This window comes from Homo sapiens, chromosome 1 (assembly GCF_000001405.40).
Source record: "Homo sapiens chromosome 1, GRCh38.p14 Primary Assembly".
Lineage (NCBI taxonomy): Eukaryota > Metazoa > Chordata > Mammalia > Primates > Hominidae > Homo > Homo sapiens.
This window is the reverse complement of record NC_000001.11, coordinates 90025569-90052945: the sequence shown is the minus strand read 5'-3', so window position 1 is coordinate 90052945 and position 27377 is coordinate 90025569. Positions and strand designations below refer to the sequence as shown.

General features: G+C 37.8%; 1 protein-coding gene across 6 annotated transcripts in view; it reads right to left on the bottom strand.

Moving 5' to 3' along the window:
* Positions 1-17412: 17412 nt before the first annotated feature.
* The window catches only part of ZNF326 (zinc finger protein 326), a 40424-nt gene continuing 30459 nt past the window's right edge, over positions 17413-27377 (bottom strand). For all 6 annotated transcript variants that reach the window (NM_181781.4, NM_182976.4, XM_047418427.1 and 3 more), the window contains one exon: positions 17413-25592. In NM_181781.4, the coding sequence (NP_861446.2) occupies positions 25245-25592 (348 nt within the window). In that variant the 3' untranslated portion in view covers positions 17413-25244. The remainder of the gene's footprint in view (positions 25593-27377) is intronic.

Genomic DNA, 27377 nt, shown 5'->3' with positions numbered 1-27377 from the left:
ATGAGAAAGCTACTGAGTGAATTCTCAAGTATTCAAAAGATGTAGGCTGGAAAAAATAAGAAGAACCAAAGAAATCTCCATCTATCTGGAGTACCTTCTGTTAAAATTCCTACTTTCAAGATCCGATTCTACCATTTGACCTTGCATAAGTTATTTAACACTGCATGCTTTAGTTTCTGCATTTGTAAAATAGTATAATAATAGTACCCACTTCGTGGGGCTGTTGTGAGAGTAAAATGATTAATAAATGTAAAGAGTATTAATAACATCTGGAATGTAATATGTAGTCAATAAATGTTGGATATTATTTAAATATTTTCCAATATAATAGCTAGAACAGCAAAAGAGCCCCAGATTAAGAGTCAGAAGATCTGAGTTCTAAATCCAACCCTGGGATTAACTCACTCTATGAACTTAGGCAAGTCACTTCTCTTTGGCTCAATTTCCTTATGCATAAAATGAGGTGTTTGGACTAAAATTTCTCTAATTTCCTTCAATTGTATAATTCCAGTTGTAACATGTTCTTAATTCTTCACTAAATGAACATATATGAATATATAAACATATATTAAGTGGGAATCAGGCTTTTTGTTCTATGAACATTTACCAAGGCAGTGTGCAAAAATAAATAAAAGACCCATGTTGCCATATGGGAATTCAGTAAACTTAAATTTTGTGATTATCTCTGTACCTGGGGGTTGGCCACAAAAGAACAAAAGGTGTGAGTATATTCTGTGGGTGGGAGAAGTTGTTCCATAGCTTCTGCTTCCAAATTTAACTACAGTGTGTACTGCACCACTCCCAGTGAAATAAGACAAATGACAATTAGAAAATTAACCCACTTAGAAAAAAATGTGCCACTCACTGCCAGCACTCATTTAATTTTACATAAGCACGCTCTTTGAGGCTGAAGCAAATCTGACAGATTTTCAATGTGAAAATAAAAGATAAAAACTATTTGTATTAGTCCGTTCTCACACTTCTAAGAAGTTCCCTAAGACTGGGTAATTTATAAAGAAAATAGGCTTAATTGACTCAGTTCTGCATGGCTGGGGAGGCCTCAGGAAACTTATAATTATGGCGGAAGGGGAAGCAGGCACCTTCTTCACAAGGTGGTAGGAGAGGGAAGAGCAGGGAAACTGCTACTTATAAAACCATCAAGTCTCATGAGAACTTACTCACTATCATGAGAAGAGCATGGGGGAACCATCTGCATGATCCAATCACCTCCCTCCCTCAACACATGGGGATTACAATATAAGATGAGATTTTGGTGGGGACACAGATCCAAACCATATTGCCGTTCTTGGAGTTATTTCTAAACAGCGCTAATATCAGAATTGTCTATTTCAGAAAAATCGGATTCATCAAATCAATCTTCAGGCAACAACTGTTCAAGGACAATGTTAGCATCACACATAGGAATGCTATGTTTTCTAAGATCTGACATTTTCAGCAATCAAGAATTACTGTATTTTGTAAGCCAGAATACCACTACTAAAAGCAGAATGCTATAAATAGAATGATGTTTTTCATTTCCAAAGTTGATATACTAGAGCAATGCAAAAATAATAATAAAAGTGAGATATTTTGTGGCAAGGTTATCTCGGGGTCTTGCAGCCACAAGCACCACTGGTGAGTATTCTCAAGGCAAATCCGAAAAGGGTTAACATACATTTCCTCTGGCCAGAGGTATGAATGGCCATGGAGACACAATGCACGCTTGTAACAGAAATAACAACATATTTCAAAGTATGCAGAGGAGGGATGAAGAAGGATTTACGACATGTTTTTGGATAGGACAAACAGTCATCCTACCCAACTTCCAAAATTAGAGCTTTCTTCCTTTGGCTACAGCATTAAATCTCTATTAAAATGCAGTTGACCCTGAGAGGGGCAGCAGGCATTTGTGCCTTAGTATAAATGAATTTAGTCAGTTCTTTGCCCCAAACAAAGGGAAGCAAGCACAAGGAAAGAGTGCCCTCATTAGAGAGAAAAGGCAAGGCAAGGAGATAACTGTAAAAGTCCTCCAATCTCTTCATACTCACACTCTATTTAAATAATATTTAATTGAATTATGTAATTACAATGACAAACAGATTTAGGAACAAGCACAGGGATGCACTACAAATGCACACCTTACAAGGTGGGCTGATGCACATGGGAGCAGTGAGTGGCCAACTAGTAGGAGCACCCAGCCAGCAGGGGCATCCAAAGGCAAGACTGCTGTAGAAATGGAGCATGTGGGCTGGTCAAGAGCTTCAACTGTACTTCACGATTTTTCTCAGGGTTGGGTCTGACTGTATACTATGACCAAACTCTACTGCTGAGAATTCAGAAATACAAAATAACACATAACCCAAATAAGTAAATGTCATCCCATTTTTGAGCCACAGGGTATGACAAGTACATCTACCATGTGCCAAATGCTAGGCAGTGTTAGGTGCTTTATGTTTATTATCTTATTTGCTCCTCACCATAACACTATGATATAGGTACTATTTTTCTATTTTATAAATGAGGAAACTGGGGCATGGACAGGTTAAGTCATTTTCCCAAAGACAGAACAGCGATCAAGATGTGGAACCAGGATTCAAACCCATGTCCACTGACTCTAAAGTCTACGTTCCTTGTTACTACATTTTGCTAAATTTTATATGTGTTACTGTAAAATATTGTCAACAACACATATTAAAAGTTTAAAATTTTGTGGCTGGGTGCGGTGGCTCACGTCTGTAATCCCAGCACTTTGGGAGGCTGAGGCAGGTGGATCATGAGGTCAGGAGATCAAGACCATCCTGGCTAACACGGTGAAACCCCGTCTCTAGTAAAAATACAAAAAAATTAGCTGGGTGTGGTGGCAGGCACCTGTAGTCCCAGCTACTAGGGAGGCTGAGGCAGGAGAATGGTGAGAACCCAGGAGGTGGAGCTTGCAGTGAGCCAAGATTGAGCCACTGCACTCCAGCCTGGGCGACAGAGCGAGACTCCGTCTCCAAGAAAATAATAATAATAAATTAAAAATTTTGCTTAGTCCAGGCGTGATGACTCATACCTGTAATCCCAGCATTTTGGGAGGCCAAGGTGGGTGGATCGCGTGAGCCCAGGAGCTCAAGACCAGCCTGGGCAACATGGTGAAGCCCAGAATCTACAAAAAACATGAAAATTAGCTGTAGCATGGTGGCGCACACCTGTAGTCCCAGCTACTCGGGAGGCTGAGGTGGGAGAATTGATTGTGCCTGGGATCAAGGCTACAGTGAGCTGTGATCACACACACTGCACTCCAGCCTGGGCAAAAGAGCAAGACCCAGTTCAGCACTAGATGCCAGGCCCTGTGCTGTACACAGGGAATATGAACATGAGGCCAGGCACGGTGGCTCATGCCTGTAATCCCAGCACTTTGGGAGGCTGAGGCAGGAGGATCACCTGAGGTCAGGAGTTCGAGACCAGCCTGGGCAACATGATAAAACCCTGTATCTAGTAAAAAAAACACAAAAACTAACCAGGTGAGGTGGCGGGCACCTGTAATCCCAGCTAGTAAGGAGGCTGAGGCAGAAGAATCATTTGAACCTGGGAGGCAGAGGTTGCAGTGAGCTGACATCGCACCACTGCACTCCAGCCAGGGTGACGGAGTGAGACTCTGTCTCAGAAAAAAAAAGGAATATGAACACGAATTCCTAAGGAAATCTGAATCTATTAAAGAATAAAATATGGTAAGACCACCTGGGTTCAAACACTAACTCTATTTCTAACTGGTTGGAAACCTCAGGAAAGTTATTTATGTCTTTGAACTTGAGTTTTCCTAGGTGCAAAATGGGATAAGAAGAGTTCCTACCACATAGGATTGTTGGGCACAGGCAAATATATTAATATTTAGCAGAGTGGCTGAAAAACAGTGGACACACAATAAACATCAGCGAACACGATTATTGTCACTGACACTGTGAGTACTCATGGGAGGTAATCACACAGCATGACTATTTCTGACTCCCACTGTCCCTTTTAAAATTTATGTAGTGGGGGAAGTACTTCCCCCGACCCTGGACAAAATCTCAGACATCATCACAACATTTCTGATTATTCCTAGGTAATAATAATTTTTTTAAAAAAGCGTTCAGGTCACTTTAGGCCATAAAAGCTCTTAATTCAGAAATCAGAAAGTCCAGTCCCTCATAAGAAGTATAACTTGTAACCTGATTTAATGTTAAATTGTCTCCCAGGAGGGTTTTGCTGCAGGCTGGCAGCATTTAGTAAGAAAAAGAGGCCTCTCCCTTGCCCCATCCCCACACACCTTTCCAGCCCTCAGCATTTCTTCTCTCCCCCAGCTTGTTGTCTAGCTTCTGACCCTGCCAGAGGCAAAGAAAGTGGGATGGAGGAGAGGTAAAAGTGGGCAGAAAGTTCTTATTTTAACTGATTCTCTTTTGGGCCAGCTTCTTGCTCTGAGGGCCTGATAGATGTTTAAAGATGACTTTTTCTAACAATTCTCTGGGTTCTTCAGGGCACTCCCCCAACCAAAAAAAAAAAAATTAGAAATATTTGAATACTCTTCATCTGAGAGAAATAATGTATCTTACCCCTGCGAGCCACCTCCTTTCTCTGCCGTCCCCTGTCTCTCCCCCAGGCAGCAATCTTGGGAAGGATTTTAAATGACTCCTGCCTGGCTCAGGCTCCCACATGGCTCACATTTGCTCTAAGGGAAACTCTCACCCAGCTAACTCTGGGAGCGTCTCCTTACTCCTGTCATTAGAGCAGCTGGCCAGCCTGTCTCTTCGCCTTTTAAATTTTCCAAGTAGGATTCAGAAAGCAGCTGTGTCTTCCTCACTTCCAGAGACACACATCTCCATGAGGTCCCTTCGGAAGCTGTCTCTGGACTTCATCTGAAGGGAAAAGCAGTCTCTGTGCTCTTCCTGGCAGGGGCAGGGTACTCACAACCACGCTTTCTCAAAAGAAATCCTATCAAACTTCCCCTCATCTCCACTTTCTTGATCCTTCAGTATCTTTAATGTGGGTGGGGTTTTTTAAGAGTCGAGAAACTCATGAAAACTTGCATTTTTGGATGGCAAACCACTTTGGAATTTCATACTTGTTGCAACTTGGCACCTCAGTTAAAATGTCCAAGTTAATATTTTATTACATTATCATTTTTATTGAAATATGAATTAACTCTTTATGATAGACTTAACTGCTGTGATACAAATATAAACAAAGTACAATGGTAATATAGGAGAATAAACAAATTTTATCCAGGTTTGAGAGTAGGGTGCTGAGGCAATAACATTTGAGTTGCACCTTCAAGGATCCGCTTGGTCATTTAACAAACATTTACTGAATACCTATTATATTCAAAGTAGTATTCTAGGTGCTTGAGATAGATCAGTGAACAAAAAAACAAAGATCCCTGCACTCATGGATCTTTTATATTCTAGTAGGAGGATGGGAGAACAGACAATAAACATAATAAATTATATAATGTGTTCAAAAGTGGTAAGTGCTATGGGGGAAAAAGAAAACTAAGGCAGGAAAGAAAAGCTGATGAAACAGAAAAGAGGAAACAGATTACCAGGGGAAAAGTACTATGAACAAAGGCCTGAAAGTTTAAGGGGAATGCCATAATCAAAGAACTGAAGATAGGGTGGTGTGGCCAGAGTCAAAAGCAATATTAAAGATGTATGTGTGTGCAGCCCCTACCTCAGGCCTCATCTCAACTCAACGATTTGCGCTAAGCACCGTTATTTGCACATTGCCCCCACCTTTTTTCTGGAACTCATGACAGTTTGCTTTTTGTTCTTATCCCTATGGATACATGTCTGAAACCTAGAAAGAAAAAGTACAAGAACTAATTTAACAATTTTTAATTTGAAATTCCATGAGATGGAGCTGAAAAGTCTTTGGTGCCTAACAACAATCAAAAAGAATTGTCAAACACCTATACATCGTAGGGAATCAGATGTGAAAATGCACAGTAGATACGGTCCTTGTCCATCAAACAAAGTATGGCAGAAAAGGGAGAAGCAAGCCCCCCACCTCTGCACAGTCCAGCATGGCTCTGCAACAGTAGGACCCACTGCTCAGGGCCCAGCAGTGACATCACCTGGTGGAAGACACCACAGCCAAGCACTAGAAACAGAAAGAAGAAGCCTCGTGCCACTTGCTTCACAGGCAGTCTAGACAGCAGGCAAAGACTGAGAGGTAAAACAACAGAGATGAGAAAGAACTAGAGGTTCTGCAATAGTGAGTTAGGTTTAAAAAAAAAAAAAAGCAATATGAGTTATTATTGTAACCATGGCTTCATTTCCCACCCTTATCCCAGGTTAACCTGTCTTGAGGAAAAGCCGCCAATAGCAGCAAGGACTGTGGACTGTATTCACTACTGTAACTATAATAGCAAATGTATCTTAAAAGTGCTGCTGTGATGAATCTAATTCTCTTTCCTTTAAATACAAACCAAAGTCTTCAGGACAGAGTTAGCCTTCAGGCTAAAAATTCCCCATTGAAATTCTAATCCCAGCTCTTTCATTGAAATAGCATCAATCAGACCAACACCAGTAAATAAGTTCTTTAAGTTCTTAACTCACTTCTTTAAAAGAGGTTTCCATAATCAGTTTGGAGATAGGTTCCCCGAAAGTTAAGCTCCAGATCCATATGCTGTGCCCAAAGACAGCAACTTAGAAATTATTTTCTCCAACTTTAAGAAGGGGATATGGTTTAATTGACAACAACAAAAAAAGATGCAGAAAAATGTGATTTTATGGGCTGAATCCCTTTTGAAAGGTGGGACTCTGCTGCCCCCTGCTTCCCACTATAAAAACTGCTTAGGGCAGAACTGGCAATCACTAAATCATTGAAGAACCAGTCTCTGTCTGTCTGTCTCTCTCTCTCTCTGACACACACACACACACACACACACACACACGCACATATACACATGCACACATACCCCCAAACCAAAATTACTGACAATACTTTAGCTTAGGGTCTCCAAAGACATCCTCTGTTACCCAAACCCCTTTATTATGTAAACACTGGTTACCTAGACACAGTGATAAGGGCCCAGGATGGCTTCAGCAAGCTGAAGGGCACCATAGATCTGTCTTTAGAATCTTCCGTCTGTGCTCTTCCTGGAATACTCCTTGGATTTTGACCATCATTTCCTTGCTGACAGAGAATCTCCAACACTTACCACCCAAACTTTATTCATACTTGAATATCCGAAAAGGCCTTCAAACTCAAATGACCAAAACGAAGCTTAACATTTCTCCTCACAAACCAACAAATATGAGGCTTTCCTTCAGTGAGCTTGATTTATTTTCATGGTACCACTATTCTTCAGTCACTCTAGTTAAAAAATCGTATTCCATCTTTGATATTTTTCCATCTCACTGACCTCCTGCTTCAAATGAATGGCAGGTACTGCCTTCTTCTATGCACATCTTTTAAACCTGTTGCCTCCTCTCCAGCTACCCATGTTTAGGCCTTCCTTGGGGCGTCACCTTTTCTGTCTGGAATGTTACACTAGCCTTCTAACTGCACTCTCCACCTCATACCAGCTTGTCTTCATTCCAATACATCTTAAAATTGCTGGCAGGTTCATCCTCCTGAAGTACAGCTCTGCTCATTTCACCCCATTGTCTCCCTCATGCCTCAGACAAAAATCCAAACCCTCTAGGCTAGCATCCAAGGCTCTCCATGACCTGCCACCCACTGATTCTTCTACTGCATTCAAGTGACCTGCATATAAGGCACATATTGTTCCCTAGAGACAGTGCATGATTTTCTTCTGTGCCTTGCTCCTGCTGATACTTCTTCCGTGAATGCTGTTCTTCTACCACTCCCATCATCTTCAGTTCTTTAGCTCCAAATCATTTGCATCATTCAAGTCCTAGGTTAAATACCACTTCCATTGCAAAGCCTTGCCTAATTCCTTCCATTGGAATATATCTTTCCTTCTCTGAAGTCTAATCACATTCTATCTGTTCCTTTCTTTTGTTCAAATGAACAAATATGTGCTCAATTTCTGCTGTGTACAGGAATATGCCTGGTAAGGGCAAAATTGGGGCAAACCAAAACAGACATAATCCCTATCCTCGTGGATCTAACAGTCTAATATCTGCCACTTTCCAATTTGTATTCTCTTTCTGTGCAAGTCTTACTTTTCCTTCCAGACTGAAAATTTCATAAATGCAGTATGAAATTTTACATTTATGTGTATTTCATTCATTTTATGCCCCTCTCATACATAATATCTAGCAGAATACACTGCATGTGTTTTAATACATATTTGAATAAATTAATACATGTGTTAAATGTTACTAGATAGATGAGCTTCAGGGTCATTACTCACTTCCCAAGCAAAAGTAACTGATTAACTTTTTTTTTTTCTTTTTCGAGACAGTCTCACTCTGTTGCACAGGCTGGAGTGCAGTGGTGTGATCTCAGCTCACAGCAACCTGCGCCTCCTGGGTTCAAGCAATTCTCGCACCTCAGCCTGTCAAGTAGCTGGGATTACAGGCACGGCCATCACATTCGGCTGATTTTTGTATTTTCAGTAGAGATGAGGTTTCACCATGTTGGCCAGGCTGGTCTCAAACTCCTGACCTCAAGTGATCTGCCTGCTTTGGCCTCTCAAAGTGCTGGGATTACAGGCGTGAGCCACCGCGCTCGGCAACTGATTAACTTCTGGGTCTAATTTTATGGATTCCCTGGTTTTAAAAATTATTAGCCATTTTAAGTGTACTCAGAAAAGAGTTAAGTGCTCAGTCACTGGAATCAGAACCAGGCATGAATTCCGCCACTGCTCCTTACCAGCTGTGTGAGCTGGGGTGGGACTGGAAGTTACTTCACCTCTCTGAGCCTCAGTTTCCTTATCTGAGTTTGGGTGAGCACTAAGTAACATACTAAATGCAAGGCAACTAATGCAATCATGGTACATTCATGTTCAACAATTTGAAGCTATCATTATTTATTTCTGTTGTCTTCCTTTGAATCATAGCATGTTGATACTATTTCCCAGAGCGTGTTGCTATTCCAGTGGTATGCTTGCTTCTTCAGCTTCTCTGACAGATTCCGTTGGAAAACTGACACGACAGTAATTCCCAACCCCTTTCTTTCTTCCCATCTTTTACTATAGACAGATAGGAATGGCCATGTGACCCAGTTCTAATCAAAGAGACAGAGGCAAAGGTCTGTTAGAGAATTCCCAGGAAAATATTTGCTTTCCTGATAAAGGAGACAGATAGGTCTAGGGACAACCTTCCCTACTATCCCTTCTTTCTATCTTTAATGTAGATACATTACCTGGAGTTGCAACTGCATCTTGAGATTTTGTGGGGAAGGCCAAAAAAATTGAGACGCTGACTCAGACAACACTGAGCAGCTGATCCGATACAAATAGTCATCTAACTCCAGACTTCTTGTTACGTGAGAAAAGTAAACCCTGTTTCTTTAAGCCAACATACATAGACTTTTGTTGCTTGCAGCCAAATACAACCAAGATGATTCTCAAGCTCTCAAGGTAGTTTAGGGTATATGTAAGAGAACATTTTTAAAAGATAATGTAGCTCTGTTATTCAAAGACTCTTCAGTGCATAAAAGTCAAATATCTTATCAAAACATCATATAGGAAGAGTCTTACACATCTAGAAGGGATTCAAATTAAGAGTCATTGTGAAACTAATCCTGAGGGAAAAAGCTGTAACGACCCATTGAGAAAACCTTGGTTGTGTTCATTGAGTGCCTGCCATTCTAAGTGCTGAGGTACCAGTGCCGAATTAAACGACAAAATTATTGTTCTCATGGGGCTTACATTCCAGTGAAGGAGACATGTGATAAGCAAATAAATAAAATAATTTTAGATAGTGGTGAGTGGTAACAGAGTGATGGGATAGAGAATGACTATATGAGAAGTCCTCTCTGAGGAAGCTGCAATTTAACATAGCTGAATGATGAAAGGGAACCAGTTATGCAAAGGTTTGGGAAAAGAGCATTCTGGGCAAAGAAAACAATAACCACAATGGCTAAAAGACAGAAACAAGTGTTGTATATCAGAGGAGTAAAAAGGCCAGTGTACCTGTGGCATAATGGGTAAGGGGAAGAGTGGCAAGAGATTAGAAAGACAGGGGCAGGATCACATATGATATTGCTGGCATAGTACCAAATTTAGATTCACAGGAAGCTTTTAGAGAGGGCACGCAGAAAGACCTCAGTGTTTGGCAGTGGCCACATGTAGTGTGAACAAATATTCATGTGGACACTCCTTGGGGTATATGGAAAGCTGGTATAAGGAGTGGTAACTTCAGGGAAATTAAAGAAAGTAAGCAAGCAGGTAGAGGTAAGGACAGGAGAGTTTGACCTATTTTTGTTACCGGACAAAAGAGCTTGACCTGTTTTCCTTACTATACTCCATGAGTACTCAGACAGCTGATGGATCCTAATGAAACTTAGGGATACATTTGTAACTAGAGGAGAAAGAAAGCTATTCAACACCTTTTCTCCCTCTCTCAAAATCTTCCTTGGAATATTGCCTCTCTTAGTTCCTGGGAGGCTCCTTCATGGGAAGCGACCGATTGAAGAACAGGGCACTGTCTCTGTGTTACATACAGTTAAATCCTCACTGAACATCATAGATGGTTGCTTGGAAACTGCAACTTTAAGGGAAACAACTATAACAAAATTAATTTTACCACAGGCTAATTAATATAAACAAAATTAAGTTCCTATTTCATATATCTACTCACAAACCACCACCAAATATCTAAATAAAGACAAAAAACACTAAAGACATTAAACACAAAATAAATATGAGTATACATATGTTTAAGAAAGATTAATAAAAACAAGTAAGATAATTATTTACCCAATTTTTGGTGAATCAGTGAGTGACCCATAGTGTTGGTGGATTAAATCAAGGAACACATTTGCAGAGCAAAAATTGTTAAGGACTACCTCCTCCCACCATGCAGTTCAAAAACAATCACAAATATGGCAGGCTCGCTGAGTACTTCCATACCGCATCATTTATTGTTGTGCATTTGTATGATTATTGTCTACTTTACAAATTTTGACTTTGATAGAAATTTATATTTGTTCATTTATTCATTCGTTTGTCCAACCCACTTATTCCAATTCAGGGTGGTGGGTGAATGGAGTCCATCCGGGCAGCTCAGGACACAAGGCAGGAACTCATCCTGCACAGGACGCCATTCCCTTGCAAGGCACACTCACACACACGCATTCATTCACTCAGACTGGGACCATTTAGACACTCCAATTCAACTAGTATGCACAGCTTTGGGATGCAAGAGGGAACTGGAGTGCCAAGAGAAAACCAACACAGACATGGGGAGACCATGCAAACTCCACACAAACAGTGGCCCAGCCAGGAATCAGTGTTTGTTTTCTCATCAATACTATAACAAAACAATATTATTTGAAGATGTGTTGTACTTCCTAACAATCATACACCACCACCGTTAACTATGAATTTTCTCCTGTGGGGTTTTAAGCATGGATGAAGTTAGAAGAAATAATCTGCGATCTCTGAAGCATGAGGGAAACCCATGAAGTCTACAGGGCATGTTTCTTATGTACAGTGTATCTAGAGGCAGTTTCTAGGCCTTATACAATTTTGTTTGGAAATCAGTGTCGTCAGATAGACTTGGGTAAGTAGGTCATTCCTGAATTGTAGTTGCCTCCTAATTGTCTTTAAGATTCCTAAGGACAAGGATTGTATCTGTTTTGTTCATAACCATATACTTAGCCGCAAGCATCAGTATCTGGCAGATAGTAAGCACCCAATATCAGTAAGATGAATAAATAATGCTTCAAGAAAACAAAGTCATACAAGTTTATACAAATTAAAGAGATACCAGAAAGCAAAATAAAAGTCCCTACACACATTTTTTTAAAGTCTATATATTTATAGATGATACATCTAAAAGAAAAAAAATAGCTGTAGCATTCACTCATCCAACAAATTCCTTTCTGGGGCATGTATTATGTGGCATGCACTGTGCTAGAAGCTGGAGATAGAAAAAAGAGTGACACAAGAACTTTCTGGGAAGCAGAGGCCCACAGTGCAGAGTGGAGAAAGAAACATCTCCACATTTTTGTGCACGTTCTGATGAAGTAAGCAGGGGGTCAGGGGGCTCAGAGTTACTGGTGAATATAGAGAAAGAAGGCTGAGAAAACCCAGGAATACTTCCTAGGGAACAGCTGAATCTAAACTGCATTGTTTTGTTTTTAGGAAAATCTTACTACCTTTAACAGAACATTTAGAATTTTGCTCTAAGTTAGTTCAAACTCCACACCTAATTTCCTTTAATATATCTAGACCAGTGGTTCTCAACTAGGAGTGATTTTACCTCCCATTTGGCACTGTCTGGGAACATTTTTGATGGTCACACTGCTGCATGCTATTGGAATCTATTAAGCAGAAACCAGGGATGTTGCTAAACATCCTACAATGCACAGGACAACCTCCCACAACAAAGAATTAATCCAGTTTTGGCCACATAGTGCCAAGACTGAGAATCCCTGATCTAGAATGAGAGAAGAATTAGGAAGTACCATGCAAATAAAAACATATATATGGTTTAATCAAGGTTTCTCCAATGTAATTAATGTGACCACGGAAATCATTTAATTAGATGCCTCAACTGTAAGTCAATAAAGTACAAATAATAAAACAATCAGTTAAATTTTTTGTGATGACTATGAATAAAGTACTTAAATATCGTAAGTACAATTCATATGTTTATATTAATCAGTTATATTCCTAACATTATGTATGAAGCCCAGGGTCTCAGGAAAACATTGCTTAATTAGAATTCCAAATTGAAGAATGTCATACTTAGACAGGATTTTTTATGTATAGCTTTCAGTTTCTAGGATAGAAAAGGCTTAGCCCACTCCTTTTGAGTTTAAAATTACATTATATAGTCACATGTTCAGCATTTTTTAGCTGGATACGTTTGTTCCCCATAGGAAGTTTACAACTTGTAAAGGGAGTTTTATGCAGAATACAAATTGGGAGTATTACATGACTATCTCTTGAGGGCACTGAGTTGTGCAAACAACATCATTTTATCTGACGTAGTGGCTTTGGATTGGTTTATCTGTTCATCCTAGGGCTGTCTGGAATTATAGATCAGGGACATCACTGTCATACCCCAGCTGCTGCAGAAAGCTACTGGAAGAAAAGGAGATTTATGAGTATTCTGGTTATACTGAACTAGGGACACAGGAGTTATACAACAAGGAGCCCGGTGGCTCTAAATTGTAGGCATTATGCAAAAAGAAAATGCAGAGTTGGGTGTCAAGGGAGTCCTCCAGGAGCAATAGGACATCTTTGTAAAGTCTCTAAAGAGTAAATTTAACAGTTATTAAAGAACAGCACCCTGTTGTTGCAGACACTGAACTTTATATCACCAGAAAGGATACAAGGGATTTTCAGGAAAACATCTGTCATTTAACCGTGATAGTGACCCTCAGCACTGACAAGCAATTCAAACCCCACTTGAGTACAGTGATTTAACCCTTTGGGGTGGCTAAGTTTGAAGCTCTATTAGCAGGTTATTAATGTCCTTGTAAGTTGAGGATCTTTGATGCCAAATGAAAAAAAAAATCATTGGGAATAAGTGTGATTAATTCTTTTATGAGAACTTCATAAATTATTTCCTTTCAATTATACCAAATTATCAGGTCATGATTTTGTTAATTTTGACCAAAGGTCTGTGCAAACCTTAAAGAGAAACAAATGGATATAACGTAATCTTCAAAACATGTTATGAAAGATCAAAACAAGGTCAAAATGAATTTAAAAAATGTTTTTGCCTTAACTTCATGTAAGGATTTACCAGGCCAATACTTCTTTTTGTCTTAATTAAAAATGAACAAACAAATAAGCTGTTTTGTTGTTGTTGTTGTTGTTGTTTAAGTAACAATAGGAAAACTAAAATGTTAAGGGGCCAACCAGGCACCCTAGACAGTGCTAGGTGTTTATTTATATTCATTTAATCTTTTTAACAATCTAGCAAGGAAGATAACATTATCTTCATGTGATAGATGAGAAAACAGAGGCTTTTCTTAAATGTTTTTCCCAAGATGGACAGAACTAAAAGATGGTACAGCTGGGGTAGGAGTGGGGAACAGCAGGTAAGGAAGGTTCGTTAAATCCCAAGGCTAATAAGCTGTGTTACACTATGCTGCCCCAAGGAATTACATTTTTATTTGTGTCAGACACGTGAATGTTAAAAATCTTTACTTGAAAGAGAAATCATTAATACTCTAAGCTGATCATGAGCTCCCCTAAGCGCCATACCCATATATCCGATTGCTTGATAACACAATTTCAGCGTCCCACAGGCAATGCCAATTTAACATGTCCCAAAATTGATTTATCATCTCCCTCATGTAAACCTGCTCTTCTTGTTTCTCTTGGCTCAAGAAACAGTATCAATATGTGTCTCCTTGCAAAGGAAAATGGATCATAAGGAAATGTACAAAAACTATTAATAGCGCTATTTATCTTGGTGGTTAAATTCTAGTTATTTTTATTTTATTCTTTATACTTCTCTACATTTTCCAGATTTAACATTTACATTATAATGTACCATATCATTATAACCTACTGTTTTAAAAATAAAGAAAAAAGAAATTCGTAGAGTAAAAAAAAAAAGTCCACACTCTCCCAGTTCAACTTCCCTCTTCATACGTAAACACTATTTATATATCCTTTCAGACATTTTTTCTAGGCAAATGTATTTTTATTTCTATGCATCCTGTAGGAACAGTTTGGAATTTGTATACTTGCATATATACATATATATCTCTTTTCCTAAGTGAAACTCTAATATATACTATATATTATATTGTAACTTGCTTTTTTCCTCTTAACAATGTATCTTGGAGATTTTTCCAAGTCAAAACAGAGAGATCTCTCTCATTCTTCCTAATGGCTAGAGTATTCAATTTTGATGCCCGTACCATAATTATTCCCTTTATTGTTAAATTTGTTTCCTATTTCTCATTATTACAAATAATGCTGCAAAGACCATTCTTATAGCTATATCCTGTTTCATCAATTCTTAAACGAAAAAAACTTAAAGCAGCCACATGAATACAACTAGCTTCCAGGATGGGAATTGTGTTTATTCTATATGGCCATGTTCCTAGGCAAAAAAGCAGGGCTTCTATTAGAGAAAAAGGGGAGAATGGATGTTAGCGTATATTAGTGTATTACTAGAAGTATATACCACTTAAATTTATTCAGAAACTCATATGCAAAGTAAATAACCAAGAAATTTGTTTTACATGAGGAACATTTGACTTACATTTCTTACTACAAACATACAACAAAACTACAATAAGTATATCAAAGATAAATACAAATTTTATCATTTTTGGTGTTTGGATGCATCTTACAACTGATGGCTTGTTACCATCACTGTCATCCAGGTGGTATTTGTTTTGTAAACTCTTTGTTTTTGACGTTTTCCTACAGGAATAAAAAAAAGCATTAGCCTTAATGCATTTTACATTTTATGAAATAAGTATCTTTTCATTCGTGTGTATTTCAGACATTTGTGATTTCTGGCAAATACATAGCTATTTACAGGTGGGATTGCTAGATTAAGGGGTATGTACACTTTCAATTTTACTAGATACTTCCAAATTGTCCTCCAACTTATACAGCCATGGATCATCTTGGAAAGGGCTTTTGTTTTCCTCACCAACAATGACTATTATAATTCTTTTCATATTTACCAAGGTAATGGTTGATAAATTGGAGCTGTTGACTTAATTTACTCTTTTGACTCTTATACGTATTGCAAATATTCCCCCCACCCCATCACTCTTCTTTCAACTTTGTTAGTGGTATCTTTCACCCTTCGGTTTTTTTCTTCATGTACCAAATTTGTCAAACCTTTTCCTTATGGCTTCTGGGGTTTATATCTCGCTTAGAAAGACCTCCACTCTGAAATTAGAAAAGATTTTTCCTACATTTTGTTTTCGTACTTGGGTAGTTGTGTTTTTTGTTTTTGTTTTTCTTTTTTTAATCATTCATAGGCTCCTTTTCTTTTACCCATGATTTTTTTTTTCTTTTTTCCTTTTTTAAGACAGGTTCTCACTCTGTCGCCCAGGCTGGAGTGTAGTGGTGCGATCTCAGCTCACTGCAACCTCCGCCTCCTGAGTTCAAGCGATTCTCCTGCCTCAGCCTCCCAAGTAGCTGGGATTACAGGCTCGCACCACCACCCCCGGCTAATTTTTGTGTCTTTAGTAAAGAGGGAGTTTCACCATGTTGGCCAGGCTGGTCTCAAACTCTTGACCTCAAGTGATCTGCCTGCCTTGGCCTCCTAAAGTGCTAGGATTACAGGCATGAGCCACTGTGCCTGGGCTTTTACCCATGATTTTAACATATAACTATGTATCTACATATTACTTGAGTTTGTTTCTTTAATGTTTCACCGATGTATTTATCTTTGATATACTTATTGTAGTTTTGTTGTATGTTCGTAGTAAGAAATGTAAGTCAAATATTCCTCATGTAAAACAAATTTCTTGGTTATTTACTTTGCATATGAGTTTCTGAATAAACTTAAGTGGTATATACTTCTAGTAATACACTAATATATGCTAACATCCATTCTCCCCTTTTTCTCTAATAGAAACCCTGCTTTTTTGCCTAGGAACATGGCCATATAGAATAAACACAATTCCCATCCTGGAAGCTAGTTGTATTCATGTGGCTGCTTTAAGCAATGAGATTCATGTAGAAAAGTAGGTACAATTTCTGGGAACAGTCCTTTTCTCCCTCTCCATTGGCTGGAATATACACAGGATGACTGAACATAAGGTTTGTTTGTTTGCTTGTTTGTTTGCTTTGAGATGGTGTCTCCCTCTATCGCCCAGTCTGGAGTGCAGTGGCATGATCTCGGCTCACTGCAAGCTCTGCCTCCCGGGTTCACACCATTCTACCTCAGCCTCCCGAGTAGCTGGGACTACAGGCGCCCGCCACCACGCCCAGCTAATTTTTTGTATTTTTAGTAGAGACGGGGTTTCACCGTGTTAGCCAGAATGGTCTCGATGTCCTGATCTCATGATCTGCCCGCCTTGGCCTCCCAAAGTGCTGGGATTACAGGCATGAGCCACCACGCCCGGCCAAAGATAAGGTTTTAAAGACAGCAAAGTAACAAGATAGAGGGAGCCTCAGTCTCTGACACCTTGAAGGGTGACACCAGCCCTGCCTTGTCTATCTGAACTTATATATATGAGAAAGACACTTCAATATTCCTGAAGCTGGTATTTTTAACTTTCTCTCGCCACCACTACTAACTCTAAGTAACAATTGGAATGGTAATTTATGAATTATCTGAAGATAACTGGCATACAGACAATATTTTTCAGACAGGAACACAGTGTTTATTCAGGCATTTTATTTCCTCCATTAAAATGTATCATTTTCCTCATAAGGATTTTGCATTTTTCCCATTGTTTATTCTTAGACAGTATACAGTTCCAAGTTTTGCTGCAAATGGGATTTTCAAATTACATTTCCAATTGGCCAATGCTATATTCTATATACAGATTTTCTATATAGTACAGATTTTCATGGTGAACTATTAAACAAAACTACCTTTTGTCATTTCTAATAGTTTTTCAACTGTTTCTCTTGGATGTTTGTCTCTACAATCACACTGCTCAAAATAAGGACTATGTTTTCTCTTCCTAATACTTCTATTTCTTAGGGTTAAATGATTGTTGCATAGGCAACAGTCATTATTGTCTTAATCCTGACTTGAATGCAGATGTTTGATGAAGCTTTCTGGAAGACCTTCCTAGTCCTTAGCCAAGTTACAAAGGCTTTATTCTATTCTCAGCCTGAAAAATTTAAATCTGGAATGTGTTCAATCTTAGGAAATGTTTTTCGAGCATCTATCAAGCTTATGGTATTTTTTTTTAAGTTAAAGTAATAAATTTCCTAAAGGATTGAGTTACATAATCGTCATGTTGCAGTTTTCAGATAAACCCTACTCTACCATGACACATTATTTTGGGATATTTAATTGGTCATGTTTTTTCAACATGACCAGTTTCAACAAATTACATTTGTTCGTAAGTGAGACTGGTCTATAGCTATCTTTGATGAACAATTTTCTGGAATAAGGATTATGCTAGCCTCAGAGACCAAATTGAGATGTTTCAACATTTTGTATAATCTAGAACTGCTTAAATAAAATAAAGATTCTCTTTCATAAGTTTTTATTTCCTTTTAAATGCAAGCATTACAAGGACAGTGTTTTCTTTTGTCTGATTTTTAAAAATTGATTTATTGCTATCCACTTGCTAATTTTTTGTTTCATTGCATTGTGATGACAGGATGGACCCTGAATTCCTACCTATCAACAAACAAAAAAATATTGTGGTTTTTGCTTCATGGTCATTTTTTCATGGCATTTGAAAACAAATATTCTATAGCTATTAAAATTTGTGCACTATATAATTCAAAATGTTTCCTCTATTTTGAACTCTTTATCTGACAATTTCTAAGCGCTGTGTTCAAATACGTAGCTATGATTATAAATTTGACAATTTCTTGTTTACCAAGTTTTTCTTTACATAATTTGATACCATGCCGTGCAGGTTGTGTTTTATGAGTTAATTTCTGAAATCCTTGCATGTTCTAAAATTGGTAGAATGTCCTTGCTGTGCCCTTACTCTTGACAGTTTCACTCAAGATAGAAGTCTAAATTCAAAACAGTTCTCCCTCAGAACTTCAAAAATAGCAGTATGTTGTAGCACTCCAACGAACAGATGACAAGTCTGAGACCAATGTGATTCTTTTCCCCTTATAGGTACACTGTTTCTCTTTAGACATTTTGAGATTTTTCTAAGCTTGGGATTACACATATTTTGTCAGTATTCATCCTGCATGACTTTTTCATTGTTTTTGCTCAGCACTGGAGACTTCTAATATGAATCTTTCATCAGAAGATTTTTTTTTTTTTCCTATTCTTCACTTCTTTTTTCACTTTCTGGAACTCCTCTATATATTTATACTGTAACATACATACATACATTCAAAAATATTTATTGCATAGTATTTACCTGGCACTGTGATATATGCAGGGTATTCAATGGTGAATTCTCTATACATATGGCTCTTAATCTCATGAAGTTTAATTTTTAAACAGATGGTGTTCTGGGTTTTCTATGTCTTTAAGAGATACATCTATGTCTTTTACTGTAACTTCCATCTTTTTTATCTTTTCTTGTAAGCTCTGGAAGTATCTTCAGCTCAAAATTCTAGCTCAGTAATTTGATTCTCAGCCATGTTTATTCAACTAATCAGCCTAAAACAGAGTTTATTTTCACAACTGTTTATTTCCAAGATACTTCTTTATAGCAACTTGCATTTTTAAAATTAGTACAATAACCTCTAAAATATTTGAAGATTATGACATATAATATGATGAGGATTACATATGAAACTATTATAAGTAGTAGTAATTATTATTCCATATAATACTAATTATACTTGGTCATTTTTTCCCCCTGAATTGTTTCCCCAGGAATTCTTTCTGCTTGTTAAGTTTGCTGTGTATTTTTCATGTTGCTCTTTTCCTTAAATATTTGCTGTTTCTCATTTGTCTACTTGCAAATGAGAGCCTAGGAGTCAACAAACTTTTTATATAAAGGGTAGGCTTTAAGGCCCAAACACAGTATCTGTCATATATTGTTTTGGTGTTCTACAACCCTTTAAAAATGTAAAATCTACTAAGAAATAGGTAGTGGAAGGCCTGTAGATAGCAGTTTTCCAACCAATAAATTTCTCAGTATCATTATCTGGAGTTTATTTTCTGGGCTTGAGTGAAAAATTCCCTGAAGATTGCGATTACAGGAAACCTAGCATTTTAATTGTGTGAGGAAGGAGAAAGGAACAGTCAGAAGGAAAATTGGGAAATAGACAGCTGGCAGATTTTTCTTTGTGTGCTTGTTTTCTAAGTATGAGGAATAAAGCTCCTTGTGGTAATCACAATATACCTAGGGCATTGCCACACTTCGATGGCCCCTATTTGTATGCTCTGCATTATATGCTCTGCACATATACTCTGTGAGTCTCACCTTATTTGGCAAACATCAAATTGTGTTACAGCTTTAGCTTAGAGGAATTCTGTGGACCAGCAGCTCTGAGTCAGAGACCAGAATAACTATCTAGTCCTTCAAAAATCTGGCTTAGCACACTACAGACACCCCATCTCAGAGCTGTCTCTACAACTGGAGGTAATTCTTTAATTATCATCGGCATGTGGCTGTCAGTTCCTTGGCTCTCTTGGTTTCACCAAGATCTAATTCCTTGTTTTGTATCTTCTAGAAATATTTCACAGCACCCTTCTTGTCTTCCTAGTGTGATTATAAATCTATCCTTATTGCTGAAATTTGTATTATTGTATCTCCTCTACAATTTTAATAGAACTTTAGAATTTAATGACTTGAATCAAGCATGCCATTTTAATCTAACTCTCTTAAATCTATACTTTATACTGATCTAATAAATAAGCTACCCATAGTACCCTTCCACACTCCATGCTATTTCATACTTCCCTGTCGCCAAGGGGGCCATCTGTCACCATCAACAGCACCTCACCCTGACCCCTAATATAATATTTTTCAACTTTGTTTTAAAACAAAAACTGGGAAATTTTATCATTGTGGGATTCTCCGTAATATTTTCTGAAAGCATTAGAATTCACAACAGACCTCTGGGAATTAGAGGACTGGGAAAGAAGAAGGGAAAGTCAAGAAGAGATTAGACTAGTATGGCTGTCTCCGAGGAGGCCTCAAATGGTGGCAGGACCTACTGAATTTACCATTGCCAAGAATCTGCCCTTCAGCCTTGCAGATTCCCTGGATTTGTTTGAATACCAAATAGAGATACAGCACTGAGGGTAGGGACCATAACTACCAAAAAAAGTCAATTGTTTATTTATAAAATGAACTGTAACTGTCACACAGACTAGAACATTCCTGCCTGGACGGTTACTCCATTTTCTGTCCATCAACAGGTGTCAAACTGTAATCAAAAGTTTGTATGCCAGACGCGGTGGCTCATGCCTATAATCCCAGCACTTTGGGAGGCCAAGGCAGGCAGATCACTTGAGGTCAGGAGTTCAAGACCAACCTAACCAATATAATGAAACCCCATCTCTATTAAAAATACAAAAAAATTAGCTGGGCATGGTGGTGTGTGCCTGTAATCCCAGTTACTCGGGAGGGCTGAGGCACAAGAATCGCTTGAACCCAGGAAGCAGAGATTGCAGTGAGCTGAGATAGTGCCACTGAACTCCAGCCTGGGTGACAGAGTGAGGCTATGTCTCAAAAAAAAAAAAAAAAGGTTGCTTGTAATTAATGCCACTAAATGGTACATTAAAAAATGATTAGAATGGTAATTTTATGCTATGTATACTTTACCACAATAAAAAAGTTTGCTTATATTCAAAGTAAGGACAATTTGGTAAATAAATCAAATGTTGAATAACATCTAAAATAATCTGATAATATCCACTTCTACAATAAGAACAATCTTGCCAACAAAAACAGAGTTCTTAAATACATTTCAACATGCACTAACATTTACCTTTGTAGTTCTTTTCTCTGTTTCTACATGTACAAGAGTGGGCTTATTATATGGGAAAATTACTACTCCTACTAACTTACCAATATAGTTGTAAGTATTAAATGAGGGGGGAAAAGTCCCCATTTTCTGACTCCCACAGGTCTGTTATAGATTCCAGTGCTTTCAGAAAGTATTATGAAGAATCCCCCAAACCTATGTTTATATTCAAAAGGGCGGAAACTCCTGCCTTGATAGGGGAAGAGTTACAGGCACCAGAAATTTGTATGAGGGCCCTATGAATGTCCTCAAAGTGCAATCACTGACCACTACCTTCAAAATCATGTGAGATATTTGTTAAAAATATATCACCTCCAGGATAGGCGTGGTGGCTCATGCCTGTAATTCTAGCACTTTGGGAAGCTGAGGTGGGAGGACTGCTTGTGTCCAGGAGTTCAAGACTAGCCTGGGCAACAAAGCAAGACCCCATCTCTACAAAAAAAATATTAGCTGAGTGTGATGGTGCACGTCTGTGGTCCCAGCTACTTGGGAGGCTAAGGCGGGACGACCGCTTGAGCCCAGGAGGTCAAAGCTGCAGTAAGCCATGATCGTGCCACTGAATTCCAGCCTGCATGACAAAGACAGAACCTAAAGAAAAAAAAAAAAAAAGTAGAAAAAAAGAACACCTCCAAAGAATATGCTCTAGTAAAATCTAGGTTGGTACCCCCAAATCCTCGTTTCTACAAACATTTTAGAACTACTCCCCTTTTCTAACATTTAAGGTGACCTGAAGGATGAAGAATCAGCCAAGGAAAGCTGATGGGTATAGGCTATAGAATAAGAAAATGCAAAGGTCTTTGTAGGAAAGAACTCATCAAAAAAGTAACAAAAGGCCATTATGGCTGGTAAGAATGGTATATGATATAAAGTTGTAAAGCTAGGCCAGTCTGATCAACATGATAAGGAGTTCTAACTGTATAGGTACAAAAAAAAAAAAAGCATGAGATTAACATCATCTGAATTACATTTTTAAAAGCTTATACTTGTGTAGAAAACTGAATCTATCATGGTAAGGGTGGAATCAAGATTAGTTAACAAGAAATTATCATGACTTGAACTGGGTTGGTTGCAGTGGAGGTAGAAGAGTCGGCAGATAAATTTTGGAAGTAGAACAGACAGACTTTTTGGTAGACTGTAGGTAGAAAGTGATAAAAAGCGAATAATACAGGATAGTCCCTAGGCATGGAGCTGAAACAACTGTGTAGGTTATAAATAAATTTCTTTGGTTATTTAGAACTATGTATCTCACTTTGTAATAGAGAAAACAAGTGATACTTGAAAACAGAAGTTGAAAGGCGTTTAAGATCTTATATACATCCTTATTACAAAAGCAATGCAAATATAAACACTAAGGATCACAAAAACTAACCTGACTATAAAGTAAACTGCCCGCCTACAAATTATCCAATAGGAAATACATGAATTTGAATTTCTGAATTAAGCACAGTAACAAAATACACTTTTATTTATCATTACCTTGCAAATTAGCTAGGCTGTATAAAGGCTCATGCGTCCCACAAAAAAGTACTATTTAGATGTTCTTTCCTATCTCTCATTCTAAAACATTTACCCAGTTGTTACATAGGATTCTTGTTACATAATGGTTTTCTTCCCAAAAGTTTCATATCTCAATCAGACTACCAGAGACATTGTTTTAAAAAAAATCACTCAGCTTAGTATCAGAAGAACCAAATACTAATAACCTAGAGGAATTTATTATTCTTTTACCTTAGCCCTTCCACAAATATTTTTAAAAATAAAGGAGAAATAAGAGGGTAACAAGTCCTATTATCCTTAAAATTTGAACTCCTAAGCAAAACGGCTTTCAAAAGCCTGCTAAGTAAATACAGACTCCTAGATAGTATCCAAATTTATCTAGTCTTCAACTACCCTTCTCTTATTTGGCACCAAATCCCTAAAATTAGATGCAAGTATCTATCAGATATTGCTAGCTTAAAGCTAGGCAAACCTAGTTCACCTCAAAAAAAAAAAACTGTATTGGTTCAGAAAGTCTAGTTTTAAAAGCCTTATTTTACACAAAAAGATAAATTATCTGTGGGATTCTACAAATGTCCATACATTCACCCACTTAATACCTTACAATTTGATATATCCATCCATTTATCCATTCGATGCCTCAAAACTTTTCTAATTTCACTGAAATACAGCCCCCTATGCCAGGCATGGTGGCTCACACCTGCAATCCCAGCACTGTGGGAGGCCAAGACAGACAGGTCACTTGAGCCCAGGAGTTCAAAACCAGCCTGGACAACATGGTAAAACCCTGTCTCTACAAAAACTACAAAAATTAGCTGGGCATGGTGGCTCACACTTAACAGTCCCAGCTACTTGGGAGGCTAAGTTGGAGGATCGCTTGAGCCCAGGAGGTTGAGGCTACACTGCACTCCAGCCTGGGTGACAGAGTGAAACCCTGTCCCAAAAAAGAAAAAAAAAAAAAACTACGGACCCTACTCTCAAAAGAGGCCACAGTAAAGATTGAAAAAAATAAGAGCACTACTTTTTAGTGACATAGACGGTTGTTTGAAAATAAATTATTTAAGAATAGATCCTCTATCAAGCTCATGTTCTCTTTTTAAATATGTAGGTATATAAGCCATAAAAAGGAATTTTTTAAAAAGGATAGAAATATTTGAAAGAGAAATAATTCTTTTAAAAGAAAAGTCTGCTTCTTGGTTCTTCAGCCAAAAACAGACATGACAAAAGAACTAACACAACTACAGAAAACTTTGTATCAAATGTATTTTCAGCAAGACTTGAAGATTTGACACAGGCACAGGGAAAAGGAACAAACTTAAAAAGAGTATAAATAAGGTCAGTTCAAACTCACTTCTATTTGAAATGTGTTTTAAAAACAATTTTAGTCTTATATTTTAAAAATATGATTGAGAATTTTTTTTTCTTTAATTCAAGTCTTCTCAATCATCTTAAAATACTTGTGAGCTGAACTGATACATTAAGGCAAATTTTTATTTTAAATACTCATTTCATTGATGAACTCTGTTTCATTTAAACTGCTAATCCAGGGAGAAAGTTTTCGTAAAAAACATTTTATTGCTACAAAGGGAAACATGGTCACAAAGAGCCTTTAAGCGTATCTTAACGCAAATTACTATTCAATGTCTAATGCAGTAAAAAAATACACAGAGCACAAAATACTTGCCCAGTTTATATCTTCCAGGGTAAGTATTCAAAAAATTGATGCACACTTGAATATTCACTCCCAAGAGCAGCATTTAAGATAAAATGATTAGAATAGATATACTAACAATACACATTTGTTATCCTTAACACCAATAAAGTAATAAAAATTAAGCTTAAAAATTATACAAACAATTTATCGGATCTAAGTCTGGTAGCTATAAAAACTAAACTAAAATAGTTTTGCCTTCATTTTATTAAACAAATGTTAAACATTTAGAAATTATATAAAACAAATTTTAATATGTGGAATGCATGCAACATGGGTGTTAATTCATATTTTAAGCTATTAAATTTCTTACCCTTTTTTACATTAGAACCGAAATGTAAAGCTCCTTTTAAATCTAATACCTTATATTTAATTTTCTTCAGGTTGCTCAACAGGGAAGTCAGCAGGTTCTTCCTTTGCTGTCTCTTCCTCTAATTCCTCTACTTCCTCTACTTCCCCCACTCCCTCTACTTCTCCCACTACCCCTACTTCCCCTCCTTCCCCTACTCCCTGTATATTTCCCTCGCCCTCTATTCCTCCTTCTCTCACTTCCTCTACTTCTTCCACTTCCTCTACTTCCCCCACTTCCTCTGCTTCTTCTTCCTCATCTTCATCCTCCTCTTCTTCAATAGGTTCATCAATCTTCTCTTCATCCTCCTCATCTCCTTCTATTTGCTGATCCTGAGAATGGTCTTGAATTTCAAAAGGATTCTCACCCTAAAAACATAAGAAATGGCTTTCAAAATCAGCACATTCATTATTACATGATCTGGCAAGTGAAATTTTTACTTGCCATATCATGAGAAATAAATGCCATTTTGAAACTTTTCATTGTAAATTATAACAAATTCATTAAGTATTTGTTGACTGTCCATTCCATACCAATGTGAGCATATAATTTACTGAAGCCATTACTTTATCCTCCATAACTGAAATGCTTAAAGGTCATATTTTCCCCTTAACTGTATTTCTAAATAATCATACACACACACACACACACACACATATATACACATGACAAAGACAAGTGTGGTTTTTGGTAGAAACAAAGGGATGATGCAAAGATTTACATTTTGCTTAATTATATGAGTATTAATGTTACAGAATCTCTTTAAAACTCAAATGAAAATCAGGTACCTCGCTTAATCTACTAGATACCATGCCTTACTTCTACTTTTAAAAAGTAGACAAACCTCTCAGTAAACATTCACAGGAACAACTTTAATATTTTATTTTAATACTTCAATTATATATCTGGATCAAATCTCATATAAATTTGACCATATCAGAAGGCTATATTAATGTAGTAAGAAATGAAGTAACAGTGAAGGTTATTAAGCAGGAAAATATTAAGATTGGCACTACCCTTTAAGATGAATGACACAGGAATGTGTAGGATGAAGCAGAGAACCAAAAGAAGGAATACTAGTGAGGAGGCTACTCTAATATCCCAGACCAGGGAAATGTAAAAGATGTGGTGACATTATTCACAGAACAGGTAAATTACAATCACTATTCCAACGGAAAGGAAAAGGGGAGGAAGTGTATATATGCTATTAATATATATAATTATAACTTCAGATATCTAGATGTCTAATAGGCAGCTATAAATTTGCAACTCAAAAGAGAGGAGAGTTCAGAATAAGATATTTACATTTACGAATTGCCTGCTTGCAGAGAGTGCATTGGTGAAGCCAGGGTCTTAAATGGGAAGGCCCTGGGATGGGACTGGTGGATTAAGTAGAAAAAAGGGCTGCAATAAAAACCCTATGAAGATGCCTACACTATACATGGGAGCAGCAGAAGTTAGAAGTGAAGGAACACAGCTGGGTGCGGTGGCTCATACCTGCAAGGCTGAGGCGGGTGGATCACAAGGTCAGGAGATTGAGATCATCCTGGCTAACACGGTGAAACCCCGACTCCACTAAACATACAAAATATTAGCCAGGCCTGGTAGCAGGCACCTGTAGTCCCAGCTACTCAGGAAACTGAGACAGGAGAATGGCGTGAACCCAGGAGGTGGAGCCTGCAGTGAGCCAAGATCGCGCCACTGCATGGCCTGGGCGACACAGCGAGACTCTGTCTCGAAAAAAAAAAAAAAAGTGAAGGAACACTTGGTGCAGGAGGAAACCCAGGACAGTAAAAAGACTACCTGATAAAAGAGAGTTTCAAGAATAAGTGATAGATCAACAGTGTCAAATGATACATATAAAAAAGCAGAAAGCAATTGAAAAAGGTCACTAGAGTTAATCATCAATACAGAATGGGGGTTCTTGAGGATTTATTGTACTATCCCCTTATTTTCATACATTTAATATGTTATAATTTTTTAAAGACCACTAGATTTGATAATGACAACATTAGTAATCTTAGGAAGAGCAGTTTCAAAAGTATGATGTGACAGTTAGACAGCAGCAGTTGTCCAAGAATGTATCTTTAAAATTTCCTATGAAGCTGTCAAAAACCACAGGCCCTGATTCCAGCACCCTGAGATTTTCATTT